At 36.7% G+C, this 12,971-nt stretch overlaps 1 protein-coding gene across 18 annotated transcripts in view, besides 1 other annotated feature; it reads right to left on the reverse strand.

Annotated features, from left to right (window-relative positions):
• The window catches only part of KLF12 (KLF transcription factor 12), a 619,957-nt gene that overhangs the window by 272,748 nt on the left and 334,238 nt on the right, over positions 1–12,971 (reverse strand). The gene's annotated exons all lie outside the window — the stretch shown is intronic.
• Positions 1,980–2,149: an enhancer, noted in NCBI's record as "experimental_33303 CRE fragment used in MPRA reporter constructs". NCBI's record gives its function as "activates a minimal promoter by MPRAs in K562 erythroleukemia cells, with activity observed for both the introgressed and non-introgressed 13:74535038 variant alleles {active_cell/tissue: K562}" and the evidence as "EXISTENCE:reporter gene assay evidence [ECO:0000049][PMID:34662402]".

The following is a 12,971-nucleotide window of genomic DNA, read 5'->3' on the forward strand; positions in this document are numbered from 1 at the left end:
AAAAGTCCTTAGCGTATGAGTCAGTCCCAAACAACGAACTGCTCTATCCACAATCTCAGGTGTGCCCCAACTGGAAAACACGAAGGTGATCTCATCTGCTAGGCAGACTTCAGCAACTAATTGCTGAAACCTAACTTTGTATCTTTAGCACTGGCCTCTTTATCCCCGAAGATCCAGAACTATATTCCAACTGACCCCTTAACATCTCCAACTGGACATTCCATGGGGATGGCACAACTAACAAATCCAAACCAAGTTCAGCATCTCTGACCTCCACACCCCCCTTCCAAAAAAAAACGCAGGCAAGAAAGACACATCTTGCTCCGCATCATGAATTTTCCATCAAGGAATGACATCATCATTGACACAACCCTATTTCTCAGGCTAGCAACTGTTCCCTTGCTACCCCACATAAAACTTGTTACCACAATTCTTGGCCAGTCACAGCCGGCCTTTTCTCTCTATTCCAATTGTCATTGTCCCATATATGATGGTATTTTCTTTCATCCCACCACCAAAGACATTTTGGGACAGAGGGAAATTGTTCCTCTATGTCTACAGCTTAACTAATTTAACCAGCATCAGAGGAAAATCTTGGCAATTGTTGATGCTAGATAAAATGTAAGGTCATAAGGAAGCCTTAGAAAATATGTCTGCATTTTATATAAAATATATATTATTTATATTAGATATATTAAAGGAGAAATGAAGTCTACTAGTAGATAAGGATAAGTGACTTACATAGCAGTTAAAAGTATTATATATAATTAGATGTGTTTAAATATAGTACATGTATATGGTAATGTACTACATATGTAAAATTATATATCTCATGTAATATATTTACATATGAAGTGATTCTCATTATGGTTATTTCAGGCAAATATAAAGAGACATTTTAGGAACCTTATTTCTCAACACATTATCAGGTAAATGCTGTATAAAAACAAAGATATTGCTTCTAGATTTTAAAAGGGCAATGCATAATAAAACTTTATTTTGCTCCTAATAGTTTAGTCTGAAAGATCAGACGATGGCAAACCACCACCACCTTTTGAAAGTTAAAATTGCGGGATCAACAGCCTCAAATACCGCAAAATGCAAGCTTTTTTTGTTTTACCATTAACTTGAAACCCTACTAAACTCCCTGAAAAAAACTGGAGATACATAAATAGATGAGAAACATCAGGCCTACAGGCATCCTGGAAAAATAACAATATTCACAGCCAATGTGAGTCTCAAAAAGTGACTGAACAATCGACCTGCTTCCAGTATTAAAAATAATAATTGAAATCAATCTAATGTCAAACAATTGAGAACTAGATGAATAGATTATGAGACATTCAAACCACCAAATATTTATATATTAAATATGTAGCTCTTTGTCTTGATATAAATGACGAATCACAAAGAAGTGAAAAAAACAGTATGTTCCTATAACTTTAAAAATAATGCATATGAGACAGAAAAAGCATGCTAAAATGATAAACACTCAAAATTGGAGCTGATAGAACATGGAGTGAGATTTTTCACTTGCTTTGACATGTTTTCTCACTTTTTAAAATAATTTTAAATGTTATCTATACAATTAAAATAAATGCTTGACAGTTCAAAATGTGAGGCAAAAAAAGAGTCAAGTGGGCTAAAAAAAAGAAGAGCCAATGGTTGGGATAAAAAAAACAAAGTTCCTATACAGGTTAGCAATCATAAAGTGTAAAAGAGTCATTTTGGTTCTCTAACCAGCAATGTGCACATACATACAAACACATACACACTGTCCCATATATACTCATGTTACAGTTACAATTTAACTAATACAAAACTTAAAAATATGCAGCTGAAACTGAAACAATGTATTGTCTAAGTTATATTTGTAACTGATATGCTGAATCTGTTATACAGCTTGAACTGCACTATCAAAACGTTTGCAAATATTTTCATTATGCAGAGATCTATGTTATACTGTTAACTCATCTGAGAATGATATGTTTTTTATGTTCTAGGGAGTTCCTTGACAATAGACAAATGGACACATTATACTATTATCTTGTGCTAAGTATTTAGCATCCTTAAAAAAGAAATTATTGGCCAAATACTTTAATTTTATTTATTTATTTATTTATTTTTTAACTACAGGGAGTAGCCAGTGAGTGTACTTTTAAAGATCTTACTCATAGGAGAAATAAATCTTTCCTGGTTCTGTCTGGGGAAAGTACACAAGAACAAAAAGATTTACACTTGTCAGATTTTTGAATAAAACATACTATCTTATAATCACAACAATTAGATTCTGCCCTCCTTTGAGCCTTTAATCATGATAGCCACATTCTCAGATTATATAACAATATTGGAAATGTTTTTTGAGAAAATTCCTAGAGAGTTATTATGAAGAGGACTGTGTTCTCACTAACAATGCATTTTTGGAAGAACTAAAAATATCCTCTGGGTATTTTCTTAAAAAAATCTTTCCGGTTTCCTGCCTAGCATGTAAGAAGCTTAGAAGTAGCCACTCCATCCTAACAAGTGAGAAGCTGAACAAACCGAAAAAATCAACAACTCTTCTCAGATCTGTTAGAGAAGTCACAGGCAAATACAGTCCCGAAATTGGAGACAAAGATGGAAGACACAGAGAAACAGAACTTACCAGGGAAGAAAACTCTGTGAGAACCAGTATTCAGGCAGGAAACCCCAAATTGTAATTGACGGATTGCTAGGGACTCAGAGTGGACAACTCTAGGAGTTAAAAACTCCAGGGGGACCAAGTCACAGGGGGCTCCTGACATGTGTACAGTAAAATCTGCAATCTTACCTAAATTTAATAAAACTTAAGGAGTGTGTGTTATAATGAGACTTTAGGGCAACAGACACCTTACCAAACAAGACAAAGATGGCAAGTTAGCATATGAAAAGATGTTCAACACCATACATCATTAGGGAATTGCAAATTAAAACAACGAGATGCCATTACACAACTATTAGAATGGCCAAAATCCAAAACACTAACATCAGCAAATGTAGGGGAGGATGTGGAGCAACAGGAACTCTCATTTCTGGTAGAAATGCAAAATGGGCAGCCACTTTGGATGACAGTTTATTAGCTTCTTACAAAACTAAATATATTCTTACCATAAGATCACACTGTCACTGTCTTTGGAATTTACTCAAATGAACTGAAATTATGTCCATGCAACCTTTATAGCAGCATTATTCATAATCCCCAAGGCTTGGAAGCAATCAAAATGTCCTTCATTAGGTGAATGGATAAACTGTGGTACATCCAGACAATGGAATATTAATCAGCAATAGAAAGAAATTAGTTATCAAGCCATGAAAAGACATGCAGGAACCTTACATGCATATTACTGAGTGAAAAATAAATTTAAAAAGCCAGTCTGAAAAGGTAATATCCTATATGATTTCAACTCTATGACATTTTGGAAAAGGCAAAACTACTGACACAGTAAAATGATCAAGAGATGCCAGGTCTTAAGGGGAAGGAAAAGATAAACAGGAAGGGCATAGAAGATTTCTAGAACAATAAAACTATTTTTATGAGACTATGATAGTGAATACACATCAATATGCACTTGTCAAAACCCACAGAATGTACACAAAGAGTAAGCCCTATTGCAGACTATGGACTTCGAATCACAATGATGTGTCAACGTAGGTTCATCCATTGTAACAAATGTACCACTGTCGTGCAGGATGCTGAAATTTTTAAGGAGGTTGCGTATGTGTAGGGATGAGGGGTAGATGGGAACTCTCTGTACTTTCTGCTCAATTTTGCTGTGCATTCAAAATTCTAAAAATAAAGTGTATTTTAAAAATCTCTTCGCAAGTTTAATCACAAATTCTACTTTTTAAAATTCAAAAACAAAAAGAATATACTCTGTACCATGGTCTCCAAAAAAAGCAGTTAAAAATAAATGGACAATTCGATAATGCATTTCCTAACTCACTTCAGGGGTACTATAATTAATATTTAGACATATGTAAAAACACTAGTGCCTAAAAGTAACCACGATTGCCAAGTCTATAAAATTATAAAAAGTAGCAAGGTGCTATCTCAAGAGTTTTGAAGAAACAGACCATTCTCTCACACAATTTTATATTACTTAAGCATACTTGTAACAGAGATTCAAACATAATTCTATCACCCCACATTACTTTTTAGCATTTTGTCAACACCAATAGAAGGGATTGGTTAATAATTTGAAATACCAGGCAACATGGGCAAATATATCATTCTGCATTTAATCATTTTTCCCCTAGCAGTAAAGAAAATTGCTATCTGGTATACTTATTAAATAAAAGATTAAAATACAATTAAATAAAGCATAGTCATTTTGTGCCAGAAGATGTAAGAATATGTGTGTTCTATTGGGATAGAAAAATCAAAGTTTCTATACAGGTTAACAATCATAAAGTATAAGAGAGTCATTTATACACACACACACACACACACACACACACACACACACGTATATATGCTGAAGTATAGTACTTCAGTATACACACACACACACACACACTCGGAATTATTTGTATGTCCCTGAAAAACATCCAGTGGGAAAAACCATCGCAGGCATTGAGACACAGCACTCTGCCTCAACTAACCTTAACTTTTCTATTTATTTTCAATTTTAGAATGGATTATATAAACGTTAAAAAATGGTTTTAGGTTTTACTACTTCCAACAATTAGGACAAGTCATTCAACAATGTTTTTGGAACATCTGTTTATATCAACTACCTTTTAAGTTAAAAAGTTTTCGGAAAAATAACTCCAATTTTCTATATGGAAAAGTTTCGTATATAATTTAGTACTCGTATGACGCTAATAATGCCAATGGATAAATCTTTCATTTTCAATACTAACTTCAGAAAATCTTAATATTTTGACATAGAAAATAAGTTGTCAAGGAGAAGCAGAAATATTTATCTAAATGTAATTACTTGAAAAAACATTGTTTATATTTATGCAAGCTACTAATTTTAAATAAGAAATCATGTACAGCTTGGATGCTAAAGTCTGATTGATTGGTTCAGAAATGCAAACACCCAAAAGAACTGGCAAAAAGATTGTGCCCCTCAATAACAGATGAGAAGAAAACCTAGCACTATGGGATTATGAGGTGGAACTTAAGCAAGAACAGTCTCTGAGGTTCAACTCATGCGTTTGTTTCTACAATTTATTACCAGTGAAATCAACAAATGGGGAAGCTAGCTTGAAAGTACTGACAGATTCCTTCTGAAGTATTGTGACAAATGTCTAATTTTATACCATTCATGACCTTCCATCCAAATAGTGGGCAATGGAAAAGTAATATGTGTGACAGTATAACTAGTAAGAGAAAACCCAGGTACCCTGTACTTTCACACACCCACACCAACTACAGCCATGGATGCAGAGACATAAAGAGTCCACAAGAAAACACAAATATTAATAAGTAGGTCCATGCAACAGTGAGCATCTTACTGGCTCCTACCCACAATTCATTGATCTTTGCATCTCCCATTGTTTACAGAATAGCTCACAGAACACAGAAGCTCAAAACAGCCTACCCAGGTTTTTTTCCAGGTTATTGGACATTGACAATAGCAAAACCACCGCTCAATTTCAGAAACACTCTATAAGAATCTTAGGTCAGCCGAGCACGGTGGCTCATGCCTGTAATCCCAGCACTTCGGGAGGCCAAGGCGGGTGGATCACGAGGTCAGGAGATCAAGACCATCCTGGCTAACATGGTGAAACTCCGTCTCTACTTAAAAAAAAAAAAAAAAAATCTAAGGTCATTCTAGTTTTAGTGTATACCCGAAAGCTTTTTGGACCCCCCAATTCTTTCAAAAAGGTATCAGAAGCTGGACATGGTGGCTCATGCCTATAAATCCCAGCACTTTGGGAGGTTGAGGTGGGAGGATCACTTGAGCCCAAGTGTTCGAGACTGGCGTGGGTAACATAGTGAGACCTCGTCTTTACTTCAAAAACAAAAAACATGATCAGAATAAATGGCAGGAGGCACATTAAAGAGAATCTGACACATTAAGGTTGATATGAACCTAGCCTATGACATTCCAAGGAAGCCAAAGACAAAACAGGACTGTAAGCAGTGCTTCCCAATTATTTTCACACTATGGAACATGCAAAAAAGGTAGCAGCTCCATTGCATACCGGGGTAAGCAGTTTAGCTTGGCCTTGGCAGGCAGTCCCAAGGGGTAGGGATGCACATCTCAGGTACACTTGTAACCCATCTGTGAGGGATCAGTGTGACTCCAGATACCATAACAGTCAAAAGCCTTTACCTTAGGATCCAATGCCCTCAACATGGCTACTTCACAAACAAAGCTACCATCAACAGCAAAAAAAAATAGTGCTGAGAACTTTATACTTTAATAGGTCAATGCTGCCACCATTAAAAATACATTATCCCATGACAATAATACATATTTCAGACGAATAATACATATTTCAGACTAAAGACTTTGGGGCAAAATATTTTAATGTCAAGTCTCCATAAGAAATATTTTATTCTAAAAGCACTTTATTTTGATGGCTCATTTCTTCATTCTTCCATCGGACCTAACTAATATATACAAGGATTCCAGCCTCTAATTACCTCTGTACAGTCCTCTACAGTGATAGGATGTGTAGGCCAAGCAGATATGATGGGTGGGGAATCTGGCTGTCACCAAGCCAAAGATCTTGCGCTTGTATCTACATGGCTGTTTACGATCCATCCCCTTCTGCGTGGTCCATGCAGTGATAACGTGGAGGCTGACTTAGCATCCCAAGGGCAGATGCAGACAACATTCACGCACATAACTGCACACTGCTCCAAAACTTCTGCTCCCCTTTCCACCTTTCATCTTTCCCTTTCCAGAAGCAAATAAATATATTAAAATTTCCCACTCTCACCAAAAGGCATAAGATGACTGGAACCTCTGTAGAGGTTATTAAGCCCCTATTATAACATGCTCTTCAAGCTACGAAATGACAATTTTATACCAATGAGCTTTCTTTTCCAAGTTCTTCTGATGTAGCTGCTATGTAAATTAAATTAAGAGCAGGCCACTCTAATACTCTAGTAGGCGGGGCTGTAAACTGCAGGGCAATTTGGCAGAAAATATCAAAAGCCATAAAAATGCATGTACCTTTCAATCTAGCAATTGTTAACTCTTGGAATTTATCCTAAGGTAATAATTAAGGATGTGCAAAAGAGTATTAATTTCCCTGCTGTTTGTAATTACTAAATCTTGGAAGCAAGCTAACTGCCCCCAAATTGGATAGTGGTTAAATAAGTTATCACAGAAACATAAAAATCACAAATGATAATTCTGAAAGATGTAGAAATGTGCCCAATATATAATACAAGCTTGTGCATGTCATTCTTAAGTATCAAAATCAAAATACAGATAAATTATATGAAGCTACCTCATTATTCCAAGAGCAGTTAAAATTATGGTAGCTTTACTTTTCTCTCTGTTTTCTGATGTTTCTCTAATGAGTCTATAATGAACATGAATAGTTTTGATAAAGAGAACTAAAAGAAAAAAAAGTAAAAGTTTAGAGAAAAAAATGCCAAATAAAAAGTATCTGAAAGAGGAAGGATTAGGAACAAGTGTGATTGTGAGGCCCTGAAATGTGCAGCCAACATTGGTCATGAAATCTCTGTTCCTTGGGGATTTGTAAGAAAAGGGTAGCCAAGTCTCATTTGAGGACAGCTTGAATGCAGTCCTGACCTCTGTGGCCTCTTGTAGCTCCATGTGCAAAAAGACTCAGCCAAAATTCAATTTTCACTCACTGACACACAAAGTAGTCAATTCCTTACATTTGCCCCCAATCTTCCACAATCCTTTCTCCTGTTCAAGAGACAGCAACCTTAAAGTCTTCTACCCAGCAACGAAACCCAATGACACTGAATTTATATGCCCAGTAATGTGCCGGCACTTTACTCAGGAAACACTGTCAAATGTTAGTTAATATTCCAAAACATGCAGCTGACTTCTAGCTAACTGACTTGTCCATGTTAAAGAAAAATTATAACTAATTTCAGCCACTTAAATATCCCAGACTGAGAAAAAGAAAATGTAAAATGACATGCATTGCATATTGACCTGTAAGTTTTATAACTAAAAATCTTATAAATAGTAACCAAAATGACTTCCAGGATATGCGTAAGGACAATTAAAAATACTCACTTCTGACAAGTTCCTTTGCTTTAAAAAGGCCTCTAATTTTGTTTTCTAATACCTTCCTATGAATGCAAATGTAACACTTCCCAAATCCATAATTAAATGCATCTTTGACTTGGGAATCTGTTTTCCTGGCCCATGAGAAAGAGTTCACAGAAGATGGAGAGTCTGAGCATCAGAGGGGTTTAACCAAGAATGATCCATTAAAATAGGTTTGCACCAGTTACCAAAACTGAGAAAAATGAGTTTGAATCTGTGCAGAGAGGCACAGAAATGCCAAGGTGAAGGAGCCTGCCAAGGCTGGAATACACGGTCACTAAACAAATAACGCATGGTGTATTCAACGCCAGAAGAATACAGTGGATGATGTGTAAATGAGAGTCTAAGGGACCCAGCTCCAAGACAAAGTCAAGATTTTAAAAAAGAAATACCACTCCTGCTGAGACTCTCATCCTTCCGCCAAGGAGGAGTCCATGCCATCACCTTTGTAAGCAAGGCATCTGATATAGATAACCCCATACAACCCTTAAGGTGTATTATTCTTGGTACCAAACATGTGTCATTTTTACAAAACAGTCATCCAGTCATAAGGCAGGTCTGTCTCTTCATCAATAAGCCTCACTTATACAGCATTCTTAGGAATATTGTGTTCTCACGAGTTTCGTTTTCTGGATGGGTGAGGGGTTCTCTCTTTTAATTGCAAATTTAAAAGAGAAAATACTAAGTACTTGGGATGGAAATAATCCTAATATCTTCTACATAGAAGGCAAGGGACATAAGTTAACTTTTTCCTGATGACTCAGACTAATAATTATGAGCATCAGTGACGATGAAATGCTGCATACTGAGATAACTTCAGGGCCCACTGAAGTGTATCGAGGCTCAGTGACCTGAAACTGCTGTGCTTCTTGAGTTCTTGTATCTGCATATTAGAGTCTGTCAGGCTACTACTTCTCAATATGGTCATGTTCTTTTTATAGATGCTCCTTCTGCCCTATGGTGAAACAGAAAGAACACTGAACTTAGAGTGAAGTCAATTTAGGTTATTATTTCTAGCTGAATGATCCTGGATAAGTCACTTAACATCTTTGGGCCCAAGTCAAATGAGGAACTTCAACTATCTCTCAAGGTCCTTTTCTTTGCTCAGATGCTTAATTTACATTTGCTGCTTCTCATCTGTTGTAGACTTTGAAATGAGAAAAATAAGTCAGCTAAATTTGCATAGGAAGTAACATAAAATAGAAATATAAGCACACAACATGCTCTCTTGTAAGTGAAGCATAAATACCTTATGACATCTATTTGTCTTCTCAGAGGCCTTACTTGTGTAATTTGTAGTCACTGGTGGGGTCTCAGACAGCTATGATTTCTGGATAATTATGATTCTATGCATGATATTTCACTATATTTCCATATGCTTCTATTTTACCTAATATTCTCAAGGCAAATCATTATTTGATAATAGCTTTATTTCAAGCCACCGAAGAAGAGAATCTGTGTATCTTTCGTCGTCATCTATGCTTGTCAGCAAACTGCAAAATGAATACTCTCATCTTGGGACTTTGACTTATTCAATGGTTTCAATGACACTGACCACTTAAGAAAGTTTTCTAAAAGATGATGCTTTTGAAAACATAAGACACAGTAGAAATGTAAAGAATATTTTTGCAAACTCCACGAGGAAAGATAATTTATTCGTCTTTTATTTTCTAGAGTCCCTAACACATGATTTGTCTATTACTATCATCATCAGGAACTTAAAAAACCACATCCAAGTCCACTTCTCTTCTCCCTCGACACGTTGATCCCTGAAGTCCAAGTCATGCTCACAGCTGTACTTCCAGCTCTGCACAGATCATCCATCTCCAGCTCCCACCTCTCCCCTGAGTTCTGGATCTCTATTCCCTATCATAACCTCCGTTTGGATTTCCCATAAAGTGTCTAAGAAAGTTTATATTGCCTCCTCATCTCACATCTCTCTCCCTTACCCCATACTTTAAAAAAAAAAAAAAAACCTATAGCAATTATTCGAAAATTCTTCTACTATATTGGAGTGGGAGGAATACTAATCCAAGAGCATGCTGGGTGGGTGCTGCATCAGGAGGGAAGAATATCCAAGAAATATGAATCCATAATTACTGACGGGCCAGAATACAAAAGCTACCTTTTTGGAGGTTCTAAAGCAGCCAATCCTAGGCAATGACTGGATAATCAAAGTTTATACTGCCTGAAGTGAAGTGAACATGTGACTATATAAAAGTAGAGAAAGGGGTTATAAAGCCCATGGGGCTGGGTGTTATCTACAATCCCCTACCATTTATCCCACATCCAAAAGGACTGCTGGCAAACAGGCCCCAGGTAAGCTTCTAAGTTATTCTCTACTGCCTTCAACAGTGTATACCACTGGGATTTTTTACACTTCTTTCCTTCTTCACTTTAGGACATGCCTACAATGAGCTTACCTTGGAAAGGATAAACTCCTTCTTTAGTGACAGAACTCCTTAACATCCTTCAAGCCCTCATTCAAGTGTGGGTCTGCAAAGATTCCTCTACTTCTGCCATGGTAAAAGAGTCATTTCCTCTTACCATGTTCAGATTTTCCACTAGATTAAGAACTCCTCAGGGATGAGCCCTATATAACACTTACCTCTGTCTCCCCAGTCCCTGGGATACTGCTTGGCACCATGCACAACTACAATAAGTATTCAAGACATACATGGAAGAAGTAGTACTTTCACAGCTCTCACTTAACAATAGGCCAAGGCCATTCTCAAAATCTTCTTCATAGGGCTACCATCAAACCTTCCTCTTAATGCAGTACAGAGAGAGAGAAAATGTTTTATGTTTACCTGTTAGATATATACAAACAAGCCTCTTGACCTACCTATCTTTTGTTCTTAACATAGAGACCTCCTTATAATTTTAGACTTCATCTAACCAAAACCTGACAAATCCCACAGTGCTTAGTTAGGTTCAACAAATGCTTGTTGTTTCACCTCCTCATGCCAGTGGTACAAGCAGAGTTATAGGTCCTTAATTTGATATATAGCTGGTGCAATTTTGTATCAAACTAGGTCAATCCATCTTGCACAGTTCATGCTTTATTTCCAGTGTGGCAGAGTGAGAAAACACAGAGGGTAGAATCTGATAAGATGGAGGATTTAAACCATAGCACCAACACTTCCTCCTTGTGTGACCAATTTCTTATCTCTAAAAATGGAGATACTATAATCTACTTAAGTTTTTTATTTATTATTAACCTAATGACAAGACACATAGCAAGGCACTTTATAAATCATAAAGCATTGTACAAGAACTGGTGCTGGTTTTTTTTTTTTTAATCACAATATGTCTTAGTGCAATGATGGCATACTCCAGTTCAGATGTACTGTCTTGATTACCTCAGATCCGACATAGCTGAGAAAACTGCTCTAAGAGTTCTGACTTCCTGGGATCAGTGTCACAGAGGATCTGAGTGAGCTTCCTCGAGCCATTTTGGGCAGGCTGAAGAAGCTTGTTAGTATCTATATGCTTCCAGGTTGGCGGGGCCAGCTTCTGCCAGTTCTACCATATGCCAACTGGCGACATACAGGAGCATGCTAGTGCTACCAGCTCCACATATACACACCCACTTCCACCCCCAAGAGGTACCAGACTGTCGGACAACTTGGCCGCTAGCCTATGAAAATGTGGAAATGCTGAAGAAACATTAGCCAGCAAAGCACATACTGGCAGCTGAATCAAATGTTTAGGTTCTTCAATGTACCCAAATAAATCGTTTGTGTGTTCTAACAAATGTTTTCTTTGGAAAGCATTTTTCAGTGCAGATGCTTCAAAAGTACCCATTTTTAATGGGTTAAATCAAGGGCTCAAAGCAGCAGAAGGGTGGGGAATGTTTTTAAACAAAATTGCATCAGCTGCAAAGAAAAAAAAATGTTAACATTGACTGAGAGAAGGCATCTTTGAAAAACAGAAAAGTTGTCAGTAGTTTTCAAAGTTAAATTTTTATGGATTTTTAAGTGTTAAAATATTGTAAGCACCCAAAAATGAGAAAGTTACTCGAACCTGGCAAGGGACAAAAAACTGTGCTAATTTTAAAAATACATATTGATAAACATGGTTCCGCCAAAAAAATGCAATCAAACAAGGAGTCAAGAAGTTAGGAATTATAAATTAAACTCTTCTTGCCAGAGACTTTTAATAAGCAATTGCAAACACATTTAAGGATTTTTATAATGAGGATAATGGTTTGGGCGACAATCATAATGCAATCCAAAAACATTAACTTCCTTCACAAAATAGACTACATAACCAAACCCCAGACAGAGCTCCTGACATACTGCCAGCCTCTAATGCAGGCACAGTAATACACTGTAAGAGACAGAACAAATGATCCCTGTTCTTAGGCAACAATGAAATGTATATATAATTTATTTCGGCTATATCACTCTTTTCCAGTTTAAGTCCACCTCCATGACAGTATCTTTTTTAAGACAGGAAAAGGTACTAAACCATCAACTATAAAGTTGATACTATGGAGGCCCCTGATTTTAAAAAAGCATGGTGGGTATTTCTCCTGAGGCTCCAAACAAGGAAACTCCATCTTAATAGTGACTAGTTTCATCACCATCAAGAGACCTTATGTAAAACTACTGACGTCAATGAAAATACTACATTCACAATGGTGATATGAACTATGAATAAACAGAGCTAACAGGCTCGGCACAATGGCTCCTGACTGTAATACTACCACTTTGGGAGGCTAAGGCAGAAGGA

This window comes from Homo sapiens, chromosome 13 (genome assembly GCF_000001405.40).
Source record: "Homo sapiens chromosome 13, GRCh38.p14 Primary Assembly".
NCBI lineage: Eukaryota > Metazoa > Chordata > Mammalia > Primates > Hominidae > Homo > Homo sapiens.